At 52.8% G+C, this 23497-nt stretch overlaps 1 protein-coding gene across 33 annotated transcripts in view, besides 1 other annotated feature; it reads left to right on the top strand.

Annotated features, from left to right (window-relative positions):
- Window positions 1-23497, top strand: part of PTPRS (protein tyrosine phosphatase receptor type S) — a 135305-nt gene that overhangs the window by 73836 nt on the left and 37972 nt on the right. For 18 of the 33 annotated variants that reach the window (XM_047439166.1, XM_047439164.1, NM_130853.3 and 15 more), the window contains exons 5-8: window positions 1781-1969; window positions 8850-8960; window positions 20932-21201; window positions 22495-23076. In XM_047439166.1, coding sequence (XP_047295122.1) covers window positions 1781-1969; window positions 8850-8960; window positions 20932-21201; window positions 22495-23076 — 1152 coding nt within the window. Of the gene's footprint in view, window positions 1-1780; window positions 1970-4004; window positions 4014-6154; window positions 6173-8849; window positions 8961-10857; window positions 10870-16380; window positions 16477-20931; window positions 21202-22494; window positions 23077-23497 lie in introns of those variants that run through there. The other 15 variants (NM_130855.3, XM_017027066.2, XM_047439165.1 and 12 more) reach the window with 3 other exon arrangements.
- Window positions 19064-19255: a silencer, noted in NCBI's record as "fragment chr19:5247733-5247924 (GRCh37/hg19 assembly coordinates)". NCBI's record gives its function as "represses an EF-1alpha promoter that drives an FKBP-Casp9 reporter gene in an ReSE screen in K562 erythroleukemia cells {active_cell/tissue: K562}" and the evidence as "EXISTENCE:reporter gene assay evidence [ECO:0000049][PMID:32094911]".

Genomic DNA, 23497 nt, shown 5'->3' with positions numbered 1-23497 from the left:
TGCTGCAGAGGAGAGTGAGGAGTGTGGGGGCATTTAGAGCAAGGGAGTTGGAGCTAGTCCCAGGTGGTGTTCCGATCAGTAGACAGATGTGGGAACGGGGATTCCAGGCTGAGGGAACAGAACAGGTGACCCGAGGGAGGGGGCTTGATGACTTTGAGAGCCGTGGAGGCCAGGGTGACTGGGCCAGAGAGAAAAAGAGGAGGGAAGGTGGCAGGGGCCAGCAGCGGGCAAGCAGGCAGGGTTCCTTCTGAGGGTGGCCGGACCACAGAAGGGTGTACAGCGGGGGAGCAGTGTGGTTTATGTTTAGAAAGGCAGGTGGGGCTGTGGCTCACACCTGTAATCCAGGCACTTTGGGAGGCCACGGCAGGTGGATGATGAGGTCAGGAGTTCGAGACCAGCCTGGCCAACATGGCAAAACCCCTTCTCTACTAAAAGTACAAAAATTAGCCGGGCGTGGAGTGCATGCCACTGCCTTCCAGCCTGGCCGACGAGTGAGACTCCATCTCAAAAAAAATAAATAAATAAAAAATAAAAACGGTGTCCTCTGGGCCAGGCACAGTGGCTCATACCTGTAAAATACCTGTAATCCCAATGCTTTGGGAGGTCAAGGTGGGAGGATTCCTTGAGCCCAGGAGGTCGAGACCAATCTGGGCAACATGGTGAGACCCTATCTCTATATTTTATTTATTTTATTTTTATTTTTAGTTTGATTTTTTTTGAGACCGAGTCTCACTCTGTCGCCCAGGCTAGAGTGCAGTGGCGTGATCTTGGCTCACCACAACCTCCGTCTCCCGGGTTCAAGTGATTTTTCTGCCTCAGTCTCCCGGGTAGCTGGGATTACAAGCATGCACCATCATGCCCGGCTAGTTTTTGTTTTTAATGGAGACAGTGTTTCACCATGTGGGCCAGGCTGGGTCTTAAACTCCTAGCCTTAAGTGATCCACCTGTCTCGGCCTCCCAAAGTGCTGGGATTACAGGCATGAGCCACCGCGTCCAGCTGATTTATATGTATATATCTCTCTGTTTAAAAATTTTTTAAAAGATAAAAAGAAAGGCGTCCTCAGGCTGCTGTAAATGAACCCACTCAGCACTGTGGACCTTGGGGCCAGGTTTGTGCTTATATGTAGTAGGGTGTAGAGCATCTCTCAGCCCCACCCAGTCCATTCCAGGAGCACCCACCCCCAAGTCCTGACCCCCAAGTTGTGACAACCTCAGATATCCCCAGACATCGCCCAGTGTCTCCCAGGGCAGCAGAGTCACCCCCCAGTGAGAAATATCATTCTACCTGGCTCAGCTCCCTGACACCAGCCTCCCCCTTGTACAGAAGAGGGACCCAACCAGGTGCAGTGGCTCATGCCTGCAATCCCAGTGCTTTGGGAGGCAGAAGTGGGAGGATTGCTTGGGGCCAGGAGTTTGAGACCCGCCTGGACAACACAGCGAGACCCCCTCTCTACAAAAATTTTAAAAATTAGCCAGGCGTGGTGGCGCATGCTTGTAGTCCCGGCTACTCAGGAGGCTGAGGCAGGAGGATCACTTGAGCCCAGGTTGTTGAGACTGCGGTGAGCTATGATCGAGCCACTGTACTCCAGCCTGGGCAACAGAGCAAGACCCTGTCTCAAAAAAAGAGAGAGAACTGGCTGTAAAGGATGGCACCCATGGCTGAGGTCACGCAGCCAGGGAGGAGCTGGACCCGTGGCCAGGCAGTCCCTGAGCCCCAGGCTCAGGAGTGGCTGTGCAGTGCTCAGAACCATGCCCATTTCTCTCACGTCTCTGCCCTCAGAGGACCAGCTGCCCTCTGGCTTCCCCAACATCGACATGGGCCCACAGTTGAAGGTGGTGGAGCGGACACGGACAGCCACCATGCTCTGTGCAGCCAGCGGCAACCCTGACCCTGAGATCACCTGGTTCAAGGACTTCCTGCCTGTGGATCCTAGTGCCAGCAATGGACGCATCAAACAGCTGCGATCAGGTGAGTGAGGGTGGCTGACAGGACGTGGGAGCCTTGGAGGGCAGCAGGGGGTGGGGAGCATCTCCAGGGCCCAAGTTCTGGGGACTACTGGAGGACAGACAGAGACAGTGTGTGGCCGTGGCAGGCGTTGGCTCTGGGGGAGTGGGGGCAAATGTCTTCAAAGCCGCACACTGAGGATATTAGGGGGCACAGATGGGCATGAGTACTGGAGAGCTATAGAGGGTGGTAGAAGAATAGTGCTTCAACACCTGGCCAATGAAGATATAATGGATGCAGACATGCACAAGGATGGGGAGTTATATAGGGCCATGGGCGGGGAGAGTGTCTCCCATGCTCAGGCAGTGAGATCACAGCTGTCACCCACAGACAGTTGTGGGTGATAGGAAGCCACTGAGGGGGCTGGGCGCAGTGGCTTATGCCTGTAATCCGAGCTCTTTGGGAGGCCAAGGCAGAAGGCTTGCTTGAGGCCAGGAGTTTGAGACCAGCATGGGCAATGTAGCAAGACGCTCATCTCTGAAAAGAAAGAAAGCCGCCAAGGATGGTGGGTATCGGCAGTGCCCAAGCAATGGGAGACAGACAGGCAGAAGTGTCAGTGAGCCATGGAGGGTGACAAGGGGAGACCAGCTTCAATGGGTATGTAATAGGGAGCTATGGAAGGTGGCAGAGAGCATCCTCTACAGAAGCATTAGGCACGTCCAGTGAGAATACAGTGGGGCCCAGACAGGCAGGAGTAGTGGAAGCTGTGTAAGGCAATGGCAGGTGTCCAGAGGTGACAAGTAAGGTGATGGGGAGCCATAGAAAACTACAGGGAGAGAGTCTCTCCAAGGCTGAGCAGTAAGAGGTGATGGCGGGGCTTCAGGTCTGTAAGGGGGCACAGACGGGCAGTCCAGCCTGTCTGTTCAGGCCCTGGCTGGGCTAGGGAGACCTTGGGACAGAGCCTTGGAGACGGGTGGTTCCACCATTGTGTCTCCACAAAGCACCCACATGGCCCATCTGTGGGTCCATCTGTCTGGGGGGCTGTGTCTGCGTGTGTGTTGTCCCCCCGCTTCACGACATGTCCACGTGTGCATGTCTGGGCTCCCTGTGCCGGCCTGGCCTGCCTCCCGCCTGTGGGCACAGGTGTGCAGGCCTGGCTGCTGTCACACACGGGCCTCCCTTCCCCCGCCCGGAGCAAAGTGTCCGCCTGCATCTCGGCCACACGTGCACCCACATTGCAGTCACTCCCGTGCCTGTGCACACAGGGCAGTGATCCGCGCACGCGCCTCTCAGCCTGCACCTCCCTAGTGCTCGTGCGTGGGGACACACGTGGTGGGGATGTGTCTCCATACATTGGGAGCACACGTGTGGCTGCACATGCGTGTTTGTCTGTGTCACGGATTTACTGTTTTCAGTTGTGCCGGGCTTGACGCCCTGCCTTCGTTCAGGTCACTGTTGAGATCACCCTGCACCTCCACACACCCCTCTTTTTGCTTTCTCTCTCCCCTTCCTCCGAGGATCCCGCCACGGAGCCCCCTTTGCAGCAGTACCTCCCCGAATCATCCCCAGCGCCCCTCACTCACTGCCCATCGTTGCCCCCCACCAAAGAGCCTACCTACCTGTTCTCCGCTTTCTGCTCCTCCTCCTTAGTGAAAACCAAGCCCCAAAAAGATCAGACGTGGAGCCCAGAATGTCTTCCTTGGAGAGACTCAGACCTCACACTGGGGGGACAAATCGCCTCCTATCTCCCAGCCTGGCTGAGGATGTTTGCAGCTCATAGGCCTCTGCAAGCAGGGGGAGCGGTGGCCTCAGTTTCCCCATAAAACATGCCTATTTTCCTTGTGTTCTGGTGACCTCTCCAGGATGGAATGTCTAGCGCCTGCTAGGTGCTCAGTGAACATAAGCCACTTTAGGAATCATAAGAAATGTTGTTATTATTATTCTGAGCGTCCCCCTCCCCTCCCCCGCCCTCCCCTCCTCGCTGAGGACATAGGATTCTTTGTAACCACCCGTTAACGTTCCTGTTCTCTTTTCTTATCCTCCTGTTGTAAACGTTCAGAAACCTTTGGTAAGTCTGATTTCATCACCACGTCAACAACTAACGCCCCATCCCCTTTGTGCCCCTTCTGCTCCCCTTCTCCTCACCAAACTAACAGCCACCGTGATGGTAACTGTGACCCACTCTGCCTGGTATGTTTACTAACGCCCTCTCCCTCCTCCCCGCGACCGGCCCCTCAGCCCTCCCCAGCTGGCACTAGTGTGCGGCAGAGAAAGAAACCCAAAGGAAAAGAGGAAAAGAGACAAGTCCACCCAAAGGAAAAGAGGAAAAGAGACAAGGCCAGGCAGACCTCAAAATGCAGGCTGAGGGGGGTTCAGAGGCATCCTCGGGCTCATGGAACTTCGCACCTAACAACATTTCCTCCCGCACTTTTTTCTTGGCCTTAGCCCTGCTGGAAAAGGATTTAATTACAGAAGTTTGGGGGCTGGGGCTGGGCGTGGAGTGGAGATTTTTCCAGCCTAGCTGCTACTGGGCACTTCTCATCCACTTTTCTCAGCATTCAGCCTGAATCTCCTGAAATCAGTTGTGGGACTAATTCATACTAAAGTGAGAGTGACTGATATCAGCCTATGCTATCAGTCCCTTCATCTCTCTCAGGGTGGGAGGCGGAACACCTTTTAATGGCTAAGGGATACATTGTTTCCACTTGATAGAATAGCCCTGAGTGATTTGGCCAACTTGAAAAGACTTCTTTTTTTTTGAGACAGTCTTAATCTGTCACCCAGGCTGGAGTGCAGTGGCACCATCTCGGCTCACTAAAGCCTCCACGTCCCCGATTCAAGCAATTCTCCTGCCTCAGTCTCCTGAGTAGCAGGGATTACAGGCACCCACCACCACACCCGGCTAATTTTTGTATTTTTAGTAGAGACGGGGTTTCACCATGTTGGCCAGGCTGGTACCCCAAACTCCTGACCTCAGGTGATCCACCTGCCTCGGCTTCCCAAAGTGCTAGGATTACAGGCGTGAGCCACCACGCCCGGCCTGAAAAGACTTTCTTTAACCCTGACTTCCACCATCGTCATCCCAGTGTCCTAGCAAAGGCCAGCCTGGATTTCCGCTGACTCGGATTCCAGTTCTCCAGGGTGTAACTTTAGGCAAACTTCTGTTTGCTCCCCTCTAAAGGGTGCAGAGTGGCCTCACGAGAACACCTCGAAAGATAATTCAGGGACTCCGAAAAGTTCAGGCCAGAAGCTCCTCATCCCAGGAGGCTGGAGAGCTAGGCTCAGTGCCCACCCCTGCCTCATGATGGGACCTCAGAGATTCCCCTCTGAGCCTCAGTTGGCCCGTCTGCAAAATGGGTTTGGGCCACGCAGAAGGAGCTGCTTTTTCACGTGTCTGGCCACTCCTGGCAGATCGAGGTCTTGGGATCTTCTTGGCCCCAGCCAGCCGAGTTATCAAGTTATCGGCCATCAGCAGCAGAGAGAAGGGGGCCCAAAACTTCTCCCTGGATCATGAGCAGAGGGAGTAACGTTCCAGCCCCGAGCCGCCTTTTCCTGCTTTGCAGTTAACCATCCCTGCCTCCAAGGCCCAGATAAACAGGTCTTTCCTCTTTTCCTCTTGGTAAGAAGGCTGCCAGGCTCTCCCTGTCCCTCCTACTCGGCCTGTCTGTGACACCCTTCCTTGGCTGTATTAATGCCCGGCACTGGGGCACTAACCCCACCCACCTCCCCTGTCTCTAACAAGATAATTCCTGTTGCTCCTTGTCCCCTCCTAGTCTGGACTTGAAAGCAGTCTCTTGCTGGGCTCCCTAAGACGGAAAGAAGGAAGGGGGGGTGATGAACCTCCCTCCCTCAGCCCAGAGGGAAGGCCACCAAAGGGCCAGGCTGACAGACCTTCCCTGGGCATAGAGACGCCCCTCACCCATCCAGAGAGGCTTCTAGACTCCATCCCTCCACCCCCAGAGATTCCCGCCTTCTACAGGAAACCCTCCTGCTTTGACAAGCCCTCAGACCTCACCCTGCTCCTAGGAGGCCTCTCCTAGCTTCCTCAGCAAAGCCCGCAGGGTCCGTATGCCCAGGGCTGGCTCGATCCCCTCCCTGGGGCAGAGTGCTGAGGCCTGGCTTACGGCCCAGCCCAGCTTCCCTGGGGCCCCCCGGCCCCCCAACAACCGCCTTGTGACATTCACCTGGTTCTCTCTGCTTCCCTTACAGAAAGCACTCCGATTCGAGGTAAGAGGCTCCTCACTCACCCACCCACTCACGCTCGCTCTTGCTGCCCACTCAGCCCCTCAGGCTCCACAGGGCCTGCCCCCAGGCCCCCTTCCATGCGTGTCCACCCTGCCACCACCTTTGTTCCACCCAGTGTTAGTCCGGTCTCTGCGTCTGTGTCTGTGTCTGTGGCCAGGGGGCTGAATGTGGCCGAGGTGACTCCTCAGGTCACCTGGCTGTGGAAGGCGGGGGCGCTCTCTCCCCCTCTGGGAAGGACCCTACCTGGCAAGACCCCCAGAGTGCTGGGAGCCCCATGTGGTTTAGCCACCTCTAAAATGAGCATGCAGGCCGGGCGCGGTGGTTCACGCCTGTAATCCCAGCACTGTGGGAGGCCGAGGCAGGTGAATCACCTGAGGTCAGGAGTTCAAGACCAGCCTGGGCAGCATGGTCAAACCCCATCTCTACTAAAAACACAAAAATTAGCCGGGCATGGTGGTGGGCGCCTGTAATCCCAGCTACTCAGGAGGCTGAGGCAGGAGAATCACTTGAACCTGGGAGGCAGAGGTTGCAGTGAGCCACTAAGATCATGCCACTGCACTCCAGCCTGGGTGACAGAATGAGACTCCTCAAAAAAAAAAAAAAAAAGAAACAAAACGAACATGCAAAGTGGGCCTTCCAGCTCCACAGTTCTTTCTGATCTGGAGGTTCTAACCCAAGGACACATAGAGACATGCACTCTCAGGTCGGTCGGCTCCATCCCTTTCCCCCTACCCAACTTTTGCCTCAGAGAAGAGCCAAGAGAAGGCCTGAGTGGGAACCTGGGGAAGAATCAGTGTCCAGCCCTACCTTTGCTACAAATGCTGTGTGACCTAGAGCAGTCTCCTGACCCTCTCTGGGCCTCCTTAGTGATGGAGATACTGCCTGCTTCCCAGAACCTCGAGGTCCAGGGAGAATAGGCAGTGCTCTATGGGGACGGAGTCTTTATCCATGACCTCCAGAGAGAATCCCCCAATCTGTGGGTCCATGTCATTTCTGTGGGATAGTCACAAACAAGGCTGGAAAGCTCAGTCTGGATTTTTGGACCCCTGGTGCCATAGGCTGTGATTGAAGCCTGTGATTCAAACACATTTGGGGATATTCACTCATCTTCATTTACTCATGGTCGACAGGCACTTGGGTCCAGGCCTGTGATTCAAACATACTTAGATATGTTACACTAAGTTTTATTTACTTATGAAAATAAGGACTTTGATCCAGGCCTGTGATTACAAACATACGTGTGGAAACTTTTGCCTTATTTTTTATTTGTGGGCACTCAAGTTTTTATCAAGGCCTATAATTTCAGATATACTCAGCTTCATTTACTGGTGAAAATGAGGGACTTGTTTCAGGCATGTGGTTTCAGATATCTTTGGGGAAATCTTGGCCTCGTTTTCATTTTCTCATGGGCACAGTAGTGTTTGATCAAGGCCTGTGATTTCAGATATTCTTGAGAAGGTTCATTCATTTTTATAGGTTCATGGAAAGTGAAGTCTTTGATTTGGGTCTGTGATTTCAAATGTATTGAGGGGAAATCAGTCCTATTTTCATCTACTCATGAGCACCAAGACCTTGGATTTGGGCCTGTGGTTTTAAATATGCTTGAAAAATTGCCCTCTTCTTTGTATCTTTATTTACTCATGACCAACAAATTCTTTGATCCAGGCTTGGGGCATTTTAGCCTCAACTTTACTTGTGAGTATGAGAGGCTTTCAATCAGACCCCTGATTTCAAACACTTTTGAAAATTTAATCTAATCCTGGGTACCTATGAGCATCATAGAATTGGGTCTAGGACCATAATTTCAAACACACTTGAAGAAGTCCATTCAGTTACTCGTGAGCACCAGGATGTTGACTTCAGGCTTGTGGTTTTAAATACAAGCAGGTAAATTCAGACTTTTATTTAGATGACTTAAAATACTTGGGGAAATTCTGACTTCTCTTCAATCAGTTTCAGGCCAGAAGGCTTGGATCCATGGCTTTGATCTCAAACATACTTGATACACACCAGCATCAACGTTTTTTTACTTTAGCTGCCTCAGGGTATAACCTAATCCTGAAATTTCAAACACACCTGAAGAAGTACAACCCCGTCTCCATTTACTTAGGGGCGTTGAGGACTTTGAGGACTAGGATTCCAAACACAACTGAGGAACCCAGACCCATGTTCATTTACTCACGGGCACCTAATGAAACAAAGCAACCACCAGCTCCCTGAATTTTCACATGATTTGTGGTGGGCCCCCTCAGGTCCCTGGATCTATCAAATGATGGTTATGAGTTGTGAATGCCAACCCACTCTTTCCTTCTGGCCAGGAGAGCATCACTTAGTGCTTTCTCAAACACACTTTTCTCCATCTTTGTAATTCAACTTGGCAGTCATGAGGCAGCAGTCTCATGACCAGCTGCTTTTCCACTGTGAGTGGAGAATTTGCTGGGGAATCTGGTGTGTCCAGGCCCTGGTGGGGCTAGATGTGGGGGTGGAGGTTATACAAGGCCTGGCCAAGCTAGGGCTTCCAGGTTTTCTCACCTCTTATCTGCCTCTCTGGCCCAGCCAGCACAGGAGACAGGCCAGAGAGCACTCTGGTGGGGGAGCTTTCCCTGTTCACTCCTGGGCCCCCCTCTAACAGACCAAGCTTTTTCCCATCTTCCCACAGGAGCCCTGCAGATTGAAAGCAGTGAGGAAACCGACCAGGGCAAATATGAGTGTGTGGCCACCAACAGCGCCGGCGTGCGCTACTCCTCACCTGCCAACCTCTACGTGCGAGGTAGGGAACGCCGCGTCCAGGTCAAAGGCAGGGACCCGCCCCGTCCCATCCCCCTCCCTCCTCGGGCTCACCGCCTCCGGGCTCCCCCGTCCCCTGCACACCCAAGCAGGAAGGCCCCTCCCCGGTCGCGGTGGGACCTTGGCCGAGGCGGCGTCCCTCTCTGGGCCTTAGTTTCCTTGCCTGTAGAATGGGGGCAGCTTAAATTCCCTTCCTCGTGCCTTGCGAGAGATGCCCCGTGGGCAGCAGGCTCTGGGGAGGCAGTGATGGTGGGGTAGGAAGGCGTGGGGCAGGGTGAGGGGGTCAGTCTTGGGCCTACAGGGCCAGGGGAGCCTGCAGGCCTCTGCCCCGCCCCACCCCACCTGCCTGCCCACCCGAGTTGGCTTCTGTGGTGTGTCGTGCCTTCCCGTGCTGTGTGCTGGCTTTGCTTCTCCCAACTTTGTGGCCTCGTAGCTCCCCGCTTCACTGCCCCCCCTAATCCAGGGCCCTCAATCTAGAAGTTGAGGAGGGGTCTTCGAGGCTGCCCCTCCCACCCCCCACCAGCTGGTCCGGAGCCCGGCGCCTTCTGCCTCTTCCTAATGACTCTCCGAGAAGGGCAGTCCAGGCCGATGGGAGGCTGGAGCCACAGCGGGCACAGGCACCCGGGGGGCTCGGTAGTTGCACCGAGCTGGGGCAGGCACGGCACCCAGCGAAGCTTGTTACTCTCAGTTTCCAATTCCCACTCAGTCATGCCCAGCAGCGTGGGGGCCTCGCCCCAGCACCTCCCCGCTCCCCTGCCCCAAGGAAGCTTACTTCCTTGTGGGTCCCTTGGTGCTGCCTCAAAGGTGCCAGGGGGCTCCCTTGCCCCCAGATGCCTCCGTTGGCCTCCTCTTATCTCGTGTGTTGGCTCTTGGGTCTTTTCAGAAGTTGTAGTCTTCCTCCTCCTCCTCCCTTTCACCTCCTAGTCGCTGTTTCTGATCAGATTTGTGGTAGAAACAGCTTCTGCCAGGATGCCAGGGCGCCCTTCAATCCCTAGGGCTGCCCCAGTTAGCGCTGTGTAATTGACTCAATCACATCCTTCTCTGGGCCTCAGTTTCCCCCATGCGAAGTACCAAGCCCTAGTTGTTCTCCATCCAGGAGGCCGTGTGGCTCATCCCTTACCCACAGACCCTCACTCACCACCTTCGTCCCTACCATCCACAGCACCCGCTGGCCCTGAAGTGATTCCTTGGTCCTGGACCTGGGGTTTTGCATTTTGTCTCTGAGGAGGAGGTCGCATGGAGGGGGAGGGGATGGGGATGTGGGTGTATGGACGGGTGGTGGGTAGGGGCACGTCTGATCCACTGTCACGGCACCTCTGGTGAGTTGTAATGCGTTCGTGACTCCAACTGACTGGTCTTCACCTAACCTGCTTATTTCTCTGCCAACACCTGGGATGGGGGTTTGTAAATCCAGCAGGGCTCAAAAGAGTGTGGACAGCGGGTGTGGGGCAGGGAGCCGGGTGGGGCCTTTAGTGAGGGTGCAAGAAGGGAGGGGGGCTTCTGTGTCCTCATCCCCCAGAGGTGGGGTCCCCAGCATGAGCCTCCATCCTCTTGGGGACAGTTGAGGGGGTGAGGTTCTGTTTCCCCATCTTTGCCTGGGTCTTAGATGCTCCAGAATCAAGCTTAGAAAAGAATGGAGAAAGGCAAATGTAGTAGATCTTGTATGTTGAGGGCAGAGTGGAGAGAAGACAAAAAGGTCATTGCTGTTCTTTTTATTTTTTAATTTTAATTTTTTTTTTTGGTTTAAAGAAAAAAAAAACAACAAACTATTGCAGCTTTTAGCCTTGGGAAGTCCTCTTTTTACTCTCTGTATCTCCCCTATTTTTTCTCTTCTTCCCATGTCATTGTGTTCTGCATCAAACCCCCTTTACATCCCTCAGAGCTTCGAGAAGGTTGGTGTGTTTTTTTCTTTTTTACTTTCTTTACCCACATTTTTACATTCTGAAAATGACACGCACACACACAAAACACATGTAGACACCACACGGACACACGCTGACACACACACGGAAAAAAAATAGAAAAATGAACAACAATTTTAAAAGATGGAATATGAATCATAAGCACAAAGCAAACTAAACAAAAAACCGCCAAGCGAGCGCAAAACCCAGAAAGACACGAAAATCTCAGCCGCGCCCAGCCCGGCCTAGGGCCGGCCGCACACATGCGATGCTTGCATTATGGTCGCCTCTGCATCCGTTGGTAATGTTGTTGCTAAGTTTTTTGCACTCCTCGTCGTCATGGTAACTTGGGCCTGATGCATGCTGGGAGAATGTAAAAATTTCTCTGCATGCCTCTCTTGTCGGTTTGGTTTGGTGAATTCCCAACGCCTTCTGTTGGAGTGTTTCTCGTCTTCTGTTCTGTTTTTCTCTTTTGGTTTTCTTTTTTCCTTTTTCTTTTTTTTTTCTTTTTTCTTTTTTTCTTTGGTTTTGTTTCGTTTTGGGGGGAAAAAATCAAATGGTTCTTTTTTCCCCTCCCATTCCCTTCACCTGGTCCTCTTCTCCCCCAAAGCGACTCGTCTTTGGTTCTGTCTTGTGTCTGTGCTATTTGGTTTTGGTTTCTTGGGTTGAGCTGTTCTGTGGTTGTTCTCCAAACGCATTGTGATTTAAAAGCCAGTGTTCCTGTCCCAGCTATCATCCAGGAGGGCAGAAGGGGTCCCACAGCTGGGATGCCAGGGCAGAAAGTGACCACTTAGGCACAAGGGCACAAGGGAGGTGGCACAGACAGATGGCAGGAGGTCAGAACATGGGTGGGGTGTGTGGAGAGAGCAGCCCAATTTTCCTGACCTCACTGGCCAGCTCCTCTTTCCCCAGAGGTAGTAACTCAGCTCCCTGCCTCCAGGCAGCCATGTTGGAAGGAAGCTTAAGCAGGCATGTTCCCATCCTTCTACCTCAGAATGAGACTGCCTCCTGCGCTCCCAAATAAGCCCAAACCCAGGCATTTGAAGTACTGCTGAATGTGCACTAGCATTTTGAGTTCTTATTCATTTTAGTGACATATCCAAACATGGATTATGGTCAGTTTTAAATGAGGGGAGAGGACAATAACAGCACCATTTTCACAGGACCATGCATACTCGGTGTGTAATTGGCACTCAAAATGGCAGCTGCTGTGATGACTGTATGCATTCTGGCTGGGTACCAATCCAGAAGTGCCCATTAGGAAATGTAGCCTGACAGACTTTGGAAGAAAGACTTGGCCAATTATCTGACCTGGAACACTATGCCTCTGCCTCCCAGGCAGCACTGGCTGCTTCCCCCATCCCCTCTCAGACTCTGAGCCCGGTCACAGGCGTCTTTTGTCCAGCAACACAGCATGGTCACTTTCTGAGTACCTGAGCATCAGAGCTGTGGAATTCTGGAAAAAGCCCAGGGGAACCTTGGACACAGCCTCTCCCCTGCTCTCTCTGCCTCCCCAACTCTCCCTCTGCTTCTCTTTCTCTTTTTCAACTCTCTTTCTCTCTGTGTGTCTCTCACTCTTGCAAATCTTCAGAGATGCACACCCCCATCTTCTGCTCCCCTCCCCAAGAAAAGGCACGCCCTTGAGAGTCTTACTCCAACCCCCAATAAAAAACACCCCCCAATAAAATATCCGTGTAGATTTTTAACCACCAACCCCAGCTGACTACCCCGTTTAGACGATGTTGAGGACAGAAGCCAGACTTTGGAATCACCTTTTCCCCCTCTTGTCCCTCACTCACCTTCTCCAAACTTACCAATTATTAAATCCTGGACCAAGTTGGCAAGAGGACTTTAGATGCAGTAAGATTTGCTTATTAACCCAGCATGCGAGCTGCCAGGCTGACCCTCAGAGCAGTGCCAAAAGATGGCAGAAAGGGGTCTCCCAGCCCCTCCACCAAAGCTAGGTGCTGGTGCATTGGAACTGAGTGAACAGAGGGTCTCTGAAGACCACTTGGACTTTCTGGGCAGTACAGCCCAGAAAGTGATGAGAGCATAGGCTCTGGACTCTGGCAGACCTGGATTCCAGTTTTGTCTGTGCCCCTCCCTGGCTACGTGACCTTGAACTAGTCATTTGACCACTTGGAGTCCCCACTTCCTCATCTGAACAGTAGAGATCATAAATGAACCTTGATCACAGGGTAGGTGAAAGGATTTCATTGAACTAAGTGCTCTGTGTAACAAGCATTCCCAGTAGGATTGTTGTAAATAAAGGATTCAAGCAAATGATCTGGGCAAGTCACTTCCCTTCTTTGTGGGTCTTAGTTTCCCTGTTATGTACTTCACATGTCCACTGTTTGAATAAGATGGCATATGGGAAACTTTTAAAAATAATTGTAGGGCAGAAGCTAATTCATTTGCTCAGACCTCATTTTTCGCTAGTGCTTTCCTGAGCTCATCTCATGATCTCATTTTCTCCTGGCTCCAGCCCCATCCCCATGAGATCAGCGGACTACCCAGAGCCATAGCTCTCATTTTCCCCACTGTCATTTCCTAGGAAGTTCTGTGGCCACAGAAAGGGACAACAAAGGCCCATATTAAGTACAAGGCTACCCTTGCAGATAAGTACCAGCCCACCAGAAGAGATGGGCTACCTGGCATGTTCTGAAAGCTACAAGTATTTACATTGTTGCCAGAGCAGCCAGTCACAGGAATTAATTGCAAAAAGGGGAAAAAATGCAACCCCTAATCTCACTCTTATTTATTTTCTAAACTGACAGATCTCCAGCTTTGGCTGACTCTGGGTGGTACAGGGGGTAAAATATTCAGGCTTGCCCTTCTCCTCCTGAAATTTATCTCTGGGATCCAAAGGGCTTAAGTCAAAATGTGTCCATTTTTAAAAATACAGCTGGCAGCTCCACTCCCAGCTGTAGTTGAATTCTCCCTCCTCCGACTTTTGACAAGGTGGGAAGATGATCAGATTATATTCTCCCTGACTATGAATGTTCTTTTCTGGTTCTTTAAAACTCTAAGCCTTTAGAGTATGAGTTAGTGGCTAAAGGTAGTGTCTTTACTGCCTGGTCTTGCAACATAGCATTATTGAAACGTAGTGCACAGGACCCATGTAAATGGTTTGCCACCCTCTGATGCCAGGGGAACTTGGAAAAAGCTGGAGACATCAGGAGGAATTTTCTTTTTCTTTTACTTTTTTTTTTTTTTTTTTTTTTTGAGATGGAGTTTCACTCTTGTCACTCAGGCTGGAGTGCATTGACGTGATCTCGGCTCACTGCAACCTCCTCCTCCTGGGTTCAATGATTCTCCTGTCTCAGCCTCCCAAGTAGCTGGGATTACAGTTGCCCTCCACCACGCCTGGCTAATTTTTGTATTTTTATTAGAGACAGGGTTTTGCCATGTTGGCCAGGCTGGTCTCCTGACCTCAGGTAATCTACCTGCCTCGGCCTCCAAAAGTGCTGGGATTACAGGTGTGAGCCACCACACTCGGCCTTTTTTTTTTTTTTTTTTTTTTTGACAGAATCTCACTGTGTTGCCCAGGCTGAAGTACAGTGGCGCAATCTCGGCTCACTGCAACCTCCGCCTCCTGGGTTCAAGTGATTCTCCTGCCTCAGTCCCCTGAGTAGCTGGGATTACAGGCACCTGGCACCACGCTCAGATAATTTTTGTATTTCTGGTAGAGACAGGGTTTCACCATGTTGGCCAGGCTGGTCTCAAACTCCTGACCTCAGGTGATTCACCCACCTCAGCCTCCCAAAGTGCTGGGATTGCAGGAGTGAGCCACCGTGCCCTGCCGGTTGAGCAATGTTCTACCTTGAAGGGTCTGAGGATATCTTCAAGGTTTTGGAAGAGGCCGATGGGACTGGCATAATTTAACGCAGAGTCTTGAGTGCTAAGCTAAGAAACCAGTACCTGCTGCGTGACACCAGCAAGGCCTAGATTGCCCGATTCCCAGGTCTTCTTTTTCAGTATTTGTGACCTGTCCCCAGGCCTTTTCAGATCAATCCATCTATGCAAATTTATGGGGAAAAATTGTTTTTTAAATTAAATTTCCAATACCCAAGCCCTAAAATTGATGGATGTGACCCCAGGTGTTCCCCTTACCTCTTGGCCCCCCAAAACAGGGACAGACATAGATGGTGGGCTGGAACACCCCTCACCTCCTGTATTCCCAGAAAGCCTCGCGTTGAGGTGTGTTGGCCAGCTCCCTAGTTTGTGCTTACTATACCTGGCCACGCCTCCCTACCTAAGGCCGCTGGCTTAACCCTAGGGGCAGGCAGTGTTAGATCAGACCCAGACCTTCTCATCCCACCCTCATCACATCGGGGAGAGGGGACTCCAGGGGCGGGAAGGCAGGCGTCCCTCCATTTGGCCAGGGTGGGCGGCGAGGAGGGGGTCACTCTGCAGGAACACTGAGCTCTGAACACCTCTCGCCTGCTGCCTGCCTCACACCCTCTGCATTCGCTGTTTCCTCTGTTGGGGGAGGGGGTTTGTGAGGGGAATATTAGATTACACCTTGTCATTTGGAAAGCCCCGTGTCTCCGGCGGCCACAGCGAGGTTGGGGGGGTGGTGAGGGAAGTCCATGGATTGGCCAGAACTGGGGGAAAAACAAAAAGAAATGAGAGAAAGAGAGAGCGGGTACCAAAAAAAAAAAAAAAAGTATCTAGAGCGCATCCAAAGGTCCAGCTCAAAATACCAATGACTTGCCAAGGCCGCTGGTCAGCCCGTGGGCCAGGGAGCCAGCCAGGTCCCTCCGGGCCTTGCACGCTACCTCAGTGGCGGAGGGAGCTGGCGGTGGGGGGGAGAGGCGGGAGGGAGGGAAGGAGGCACAGCAAAATGATGGAGAAGGGTAGCAGAAAATACGCAGGTGGGCTGAGGGGCGGTGCCCACCCTCCTTGGGCTACAGGCTGGAGTTCAAAGGAGAGGACAAGAAGTGGGCTATGGAATTAGGAATGTTTCCAACCCCTCCCTTCCCCCCCGACAGGTGTAATCTAAGCTTAAATAAACCCCCCGGAGGCTGCACAATTTCTTGGCATCTCTCCCCTGCCCTCTCCATCCGCATATTCATTTTGGAGTTTGGAGAAGTATCTAGAATCTTCTCCCACCCCAAAATGCCCAGCAGAGCCCCCCCCCCCCCCCCCGCCGCCCCCGCACCCCTTGGAGCTGCGGCTTGCTGAATCGTTGAGATGTCTGACACTGTCGGGGTTCCCTACCTAGTGCTTCAACCAGATCACCTCACTTTTGAGTTTCCTTCCTCCCCTTTACCCTCGCCCCCACTCCCAACCCCCTTTTTTGGTTTTTGTGTTTCTGCCTCTTCCTGCCTGGGGGAGGGGTCGTCTCCTGGTTGCTTTGACGGTTTTTGAGTTGTTTTTCCATGTGAATCGGGGTTTGAAGCGACCACCCCCCACAACCTGCCACCCCCCCACCCCACCGCCCACCCTCCCGACCCCCTCGCCCAAGCGGGTCCCCCCGCTGGGACCCCCCGGCTACTCGGTGACGAGAAGAGCTGGAAACCAGAGCCAGCTGGAGCGTGCTGAGGACCAAGGCTGGTGTGGTCCCCTTATAACCTGCCTGGACCCTCCATTCAGGTCGGTAATTGGGGGCGGGGGTCCCGCGGGGCCTCTCCGTCCCGTGGGCACCGTGCCCACCTTACTTTCTAACCTGCACCTCAAGCTTGCAGCCGGGGGTGGAAAGATGACATGGGTGGGTGCCAGCACCAAACCGGGCAGAACACAGCGTCAGTCACCCGCCCTTGCCAGCTGGGAGGATGCCCAGAGGCCTTACAAGGCCGCCAGGGAGGGGGAGATCTGAACCACCTAGTGCCAATGGGCATGATCCTCCCTTAAACTCGTGGCAAACCAGCCCTCTTCCTAGAGCACACCCTTTGAAACAAATGAGGCGGGTGAGAAAGCAAGTGGGCAAGTTTCTTAGGTGTCAGAGGAGCCATTATAATTTATTGGCAGGTCCATTTAACTGATGGTTGCCGGCCATGTTGGGGATTGTGAACCCTAAAATTACTGCTGTTGATAAATGCCCTCCCACATTAAACTGATTTATAGTTAACCCTGTACTGCAAGTCTTTTACATATTCAACAGGTATCCCCTTGTCTCTACTTCTAAAAAAAGTTAAAGGTACCTTGCAAATTATGACATCCCTATGGAGAGATATTTTAAGATAAGATCAAACAGGAACAGGGTCTTTTGGATAAGATGTTGACCCTTACAGAATAGATAAATTGGCCTGGCACTTAACCTTTAGATCCTAAAGCTAGATCTTACTCCCTTTGACGTTCCAACAATTCCTTTGAGTATAAGCCTTTTACTGATGGCTTCTGGACATTTATTATGATGGCTACTGGATATTATTCAACCAGTGGCAACTGGCCATTACATGGAGTTTGGTATAGGTGATGGGTACTTTTTTCCTCTTTGGTGTCCCCAGTGGGTCAGGACACACAAGTTTGAAAGAGCTAGATGCCAAGGATTGATACTTGGCCGTAATCCTCGTTACTCACTATGGTGAGAAAAGCCTTGTTTTCTCTGAGAGGCAGCAACCAGGCTGGCCTGGCTTTGAGCTCTGGCTACACTACTTCCTTTCTGTGAGTTCCATCTAGTCTTGTCACCTCTCTGAGTCTCTGTTCCCTCATCTGCAAAATGAGCATAAGGACGTTTGCCTCTCAAAATTGTTAGAAGGAAGAAATAAGATGGGAATTCAGTAGAAATTCTTACTGTTTCCATTTCGTTTGTTTGTTTGTTTGTTTATTTATTTATTTATTTGGAGATGGAGTCTCGCTCTGTCACCCAGGCTGGAGTGCGGTGGCACGATCTCAGTTCACTGCAACCTCTGCCTCCCGGGTTCCGGCAGTTCTCCTGCCTCAGCCTCCAGAGTAACTGGGATTACAGGCGCCCGCCGCCACGCCTGGCTAATTTTTGTATTTTTAGTAGAGATGGGATTTTGCCATGTTGGCCAGGCTGGTCTCCAACTCTTGATCTCAGGTGATCCACCTGCCACAGCCTCCCAAAGTGCTGGGATCACAGGCATGAGCCACTGCGCCTGCCTCCATTTCCTTTTTATAATTCATCCCTGAACTCCCTTAAGGTAGAGAAGCTGTTTGATCGTCCCAGCCCCTGGGAGGCTGAAAGGTAACTTCACCAGCTCCATGCCTGAGTTTAGCACCTGCTGTGCCAGGCACTGCCCGAGTCAGGTTAATGCCTTTCTCGGCAGGATACCCAATTCCCTCCATTTTACAGATGAGGAAACTGAGGCTCCAGGAGGATGGGGGACCTTCCCAAGGCCACTGGGCTCATTCAGCCACATCAGCTCCTCCACGTCTGCCTGGAGAGGTTTACTATGGGATTCAGAGACCTTGAGGAGTTCACCTTGCTTTGTGATTTCAGCTTTGGGACCTCCAACTTGCTCAGCCCTAAGAGAGGCAGGGTGTCGAGAAGTGGACTGAGAGGGGCTTTAGAGAGAGAGACTTGAGTCGGGCTGGGTTGGTTTGTTCCGAAGGATTTTTGTCCACGAGGCTCCCACCCCTGTGGCCGCCCCAAACCCGTGGCCAAGACTCTTGGGTGCTGGATGGGGAGGCCGGATCCTGTGTTCTGCCAGGGGGAGGGCGTCTCCCTGGGGAAGCCACAGTCCTCCTCCTTTCAGACCCCGATTTTCAGCCCCACACCCATTCCATGATTTTTTTTTTTTTCTTCTTGCTTTTGGGTGTTGTGTTTTGTTTTGGAGGGAGTTTTTTCGTTTGTTTGTTTTTTAGATTCTCTCTTTCTTTTTTTAAATTGCTTTTGCTTTGTTATTTCATTTGTTCTTCCTGGTTTTGTTTTGGACGTCGATACCGTTTTTCTGTCCTTGAATAATTAGCTCCCCCCACGCTCATTTCCCCATTGTGTTCTGTTTCCATGACAACTCAGCCTTGGCATCTTACCTGTGCCTCGCTGTGGGTGCCGGCGGCTGGCCTGGACCGCGTCCGCTGGCTGGCCGGACCCCATTCTCCCCCCACACCCCCACCCTCCACCCAGCCCTACCAGAAAGCCACCCGCCCCCCCCATCTCACGGCACCTCGCCCCTCACCTCCACTCTGTGTGCATGGCCCTTCTGTCTCCCCATGCCCCGACTCCTCCCCTGGAGCAGTACCCTCCACTCCCTCCATCCTGTCTCCAGTGCGACTTCTGGACTTTTCGTGGGGCTTCTTTTTCCGAAGGGCTGCCAGCTTCCGGACCCCACTCCCACGCCTGCCGACGTCCCCCCTTCTCTTTGCCTCCCGCCCGGATTCAGGAAGGCAGGGGTTGGGATTTCCAGCTAGGAACCGAGGCTGGAAGGGAGGGAGTTGGGGCCACCTCCCTTTATCCCCTTGAACCTCCTCCTCAGCATCGTAGACCAGACCCCCTGAGACCACCCCCTGAGGCTGCACCTCCCAATCCCGTATGAAAATCAGAGGCAGGTGTTGATGGGGATCCTAACTGAGCCTCCAGTCCGTCATCTGTGCAGTTGAAACAAGACTCCTTCACCCATCCAAAGCTGGGGACGCACCCATGTGTCTTCTTTAGGACCTGAGACTGTCACCCAGGGACAACCCCTTTTCCTGCTAGAAGGATTTATTAGGTTCACCCGAGTCCTTCCCACAGCAGTTAAACAGCCCCCGTGGGCCAGCAGTGCTCTTTGCAAGTTCAGGTGCCCACTGGCCTCCTCCCCTTCCCCCTGTCCTGGAACCCATCTGACTTCCGAAAACGGAGCCCCCGAAATGCATCCTGCTGCCTTCATGGTCTTTGAGAGAAGGTTGCATCCACTTCCCCGCTAAGAAACGCACAGAACATGTCCCTGTTCTCTCAACGTTCAAGTTCATTCCCTTGTTTATTATTATTAATTATTATTATTATTATTATTATTAATATACTATTTATTATTCTGCCAGGGCTGTGATGTGACAATGTGGCATGTCACATTGGATCACATCTGCTAGAATTAATATGCAGCATTGAAGTGGGCCCCCCCTTCTTTCTTTCTTTCTCTGCCCCTCCCGCTCTCTGTCCCTATTTTCTATTCTTCTCTCTTTCTCCCCATTCATTCGTCTCCTCTCTCTGGTGTCACGTAAGTGTGCACTAGAGATCCCCAAAATCCAGATCTTCCCCCTGCAGTTCCTCCCTCCTTTCTCTCTCTGTCTCTCGCTCGCTCTCTCTTTCTCTCTCTCTCTCTCTCTCAATCTATTTTGCATGATGTTTGTGACTCAGAGCTGCATCTATTGATGGAAACTTGTCAGATCTGACAGAAGCTTTTAGAAGGGTTTCTATACCCAAAAACCACAAAAATTTCATTAGAGTTTCTCATCTTTTCCTGGAGGGCCCGGTCGGAGGGGGCGGGTAAGTGGGCAGGGCCCCAGGTCACTGGGGAGTGGGGGACTGACATCTCAGGCTCCCTCTGTCTCCTGGCCTCAACAAGTGTCCTATGACCGCCACATCCCCAGAGAACCAGGGAGGGTTGGAAGTTGCCCCCTCTCCTAACCCACTCACATCCCGAAACTTGGCAGCCAGAATCTTCCAGCGCTCCCCGAAGGGGATGCCCCCATTCGGGAGTGATCGGAGGCCACCTGCTCCCTGAAGCCACTGCTGTCTGCAAAGATGAGAAACCGCTGATAAATTTTTGTGTTCGTATCTGTGCTGTGACCAGCCACCCTGGTCTATGAAACCCTGTTGCTATGAGATAATGCTTCATGTCTATTATATATTGATATATCTCTCTATATATTGTTTGTGAAGTACCTTCCTTTGAAGTTTTGGTTTCTTTGTGTTGGAATTTGGTTTTTTAATTTGGTTCTTTTGTTTTCTTTTCATTTGGGGGAAAAAAATCAACAGAGGGAAAAGAACCAGCCCTGTTTATATTTAAATGGTTTTCCTTTTTTTTTCTTTTTTTCTTTCTTTCCTTCTTTCTTTCTTCCTTCCTGCTTTTCTTTTTCTCCTCCGCATCCTGTCTTCCCCTCCCAACCTCACCCCACCTCACCCCTCGCATCTCCCTCCCGCCGCCACTGCCGCCCCCTCCCCAGTCCGCCGCGTGGCCCCGCGCTTCTCCATCCTGCCCATGAGCCACGAGATCATGCCAGGGGGCAACGTGAACATCACCTGCGTGGCCGTGGGCTCGCCCATGCCATACGTGAAGTGGATGCAGGGGGCCGAGGACCTGACCCCCGAGGATGACATGCCCGTGGGTCGGAACGTGCTGGAACTCACAGATGTCAAGGACTCGGCCAACTACACCTGCGTGGCCATGTCCAGCCTGGGCGTCATTGAGGCGGTTGCTCAGATCACGGTGAAATGTGAGCAGGGCCCATGGGGCTCGTAGGTGGAGGGGCAGGCTGGAGTCGATCCCCGACTTCAGGCACAGGTGGGAGGCAGCGTGGGAGCACCTCCGAGTTACCCTCTTGGCTTCAGTCATTCATGGCTAGGAAGGGGACGGTTGTTCTTTGAACAGGTATTATTTATTGGTTATAAATGATCCTGGCTGGGCGCAGTGATTCACGCCTGTAATCCCAGCACTTTGGGAGGCCAAGGCAGGAGGTTTGCTTGAGCCCAGGACTTTGAGACCAGCCTGGGCAACATAGCCAGGCCCCTTCTCTACCACAAAAAAATGAAACATTTAGCCAAGTGCAGTGGTGCATGCCTTTAGTCCCAGCTACTCAGGAGGCTGAGGCAGGAGGACTGCTTGAGCCCAGGAGTTCAAGGCTGCAGTGAGCTATGATCGCACTACTGCAGTCCAGCCTGGGCAACAGAGCCGGACCCTGTCTTTAAAAATAAATAAAATGGGCCAGGCGCGGTGGCTCACGCCTGTAATCCCAGCACTTTGGGAGGCCTAGGCGGGCAGATCACCTGAGGTCAGGAGTTTGAGACCAGCCTGGCCAACATGGTGAAACCCTGTCTCTACTGAAAATACAAAAAAAAAAAAAAATTAGCTGGGCGTGGTGGCGCACATCTGTAATCCCAGCTACTCGGGAGGCTGAGGCAGGAGAATCACTTGAACCCGGGAGGTGGAGGTTGCAGTGAGCCAAGATCGAGCCATTGCACTCCAGCCTGGGTGACAGAGCAAGGCTCCGTCTAAAAAAAAAAAAAAAGAAAAAAGAAAAAAAAGGCCGGGTGCGGTGGCTCACACCTGTAATCCCAGCACTTCGGGAGGCCGAGGCGGGCGGATCACGAGGTCAGGAGATCGAGACCATCCTGGCTAACACAGTGAAACCCGTCTCAACTGAAAATACAAAAAATTAGCTGAGTGTGGTGGCAGGCGCCTGTCGTCCCAGCTACTCGGGAGGCTGAGGCAGGAGAATTGTGTGAACCCGGGAGACGGAGCTTGCAGTGAGCCGAGATCGTGCCACTGTGGGTGACAGAGTGAGACTCCATCTCAAAGAAAAATTAAAAAAAGAAAATGGGTACTGGGTGGACCCTGGGCCATAGTTTGTTACCCCTTGCTGTAGACGATGACAGGAGTCATGAGGCCCATGATTACTGCTGGGCAAATCAAGGCTCAGAGAAGGCGACTGAATGGTGAAAAGTCACACAGCCTTCAGGGTCCTCAACCAATGTGCCCAATGCGTGACACAGCTGCCTCCTGCCCACAGCTCTCCCCAAAGCTCCCGGGACTCCCATGGTGACTGAGAACACAGCCACCAGCATCACCATCACGTGGGACTCGGGCAACCCAGATCCTGTGTCCTATTACGTCATCGAATATAAATCCAAGAGCCAAGACGGGCCGTATCAGATTAAAGAGGACATCACCACCACACGTTACAGCATCGGCGGCCTGAGCCCCAACTCGGAGTACGAGATCTGGGTGTCGGCCGTCAACTCCATCGGCCAGGGGCCCCCCAGCGAGTCCGTGGTCACCCGCACAGGCGAGCAGGCCCCGGCCAGCGCGCCGCGGAACGTGCAAGCCCGGATGCTCAGCGCGACCACCATGATTGTGCAGTGGGAGGAGCCGGTGGAGCCCAACGGCCTGATCCGCGGCTACCGCGTCTACTACACCATGGAACCGGAGCACCCCGTGGGCAACTGGCAGAAGCACAACGTGGACGACAGCCTGCTGACCACCGTGGGCAGCCTGCTGGAGGACGAGACCTACACCGTGCGGGTGCTCGCCTTCACCTCCGTCGGCGACGGGCCCCTCTCGGACCCCATCCAGGTCAAGACGCAGCAGGGAGGTGAGGCGTGGGGTCGGCAGGACTCGGGGCCCCGGCCGTGCGGCTTGGTTCTTTGCATGCTCCCTGGAAGCCGCAGAGCGGTTTGTGGGTTATGCACGGTGCTTTAAGATATTTTCATGCTAGCATTTAGGCCGGGTGTGGTGGTTTACGCCTGTAATCTCAGTACTTTGGGAGGCCAAGGCGGGCGGGTCACCGGAGGTCAGGAGTTCGAGACCAGCATGGCCAACATGGTGAAACCCCATCTCTACTAAAAATTAGCCGGGCGTGGTGGCCTGTGCTTGTAATCCTAGCTACTCGGGAGGCTGAGGCAGGAGAATCACTTGAACCCAGGAGGTGGAGGTTGCAGTGAGCTGAGATCATGCCACTGCACTCCAGCCTGGGCGAGAGAGTGAGACTCCACCTCAAAAAAACAATTAAAAAA

This window comes from Homo sapiens, chromosome 19, assembly GCF_000001405.40.
Source record: "Homo sapiens chromosome 19, GRCh38.p14 Primary Assembly".
NCBI lineage: Eukaryota > Metazoa > Chordata > Mammalia > Primates > Hominidae > Homo > Homo sapiens.
The sequence above is the reverse complement of the archived record's forward strand: the minus strand, read 5'-3'. Positions and strand labels throughout refer to the sequence as shown.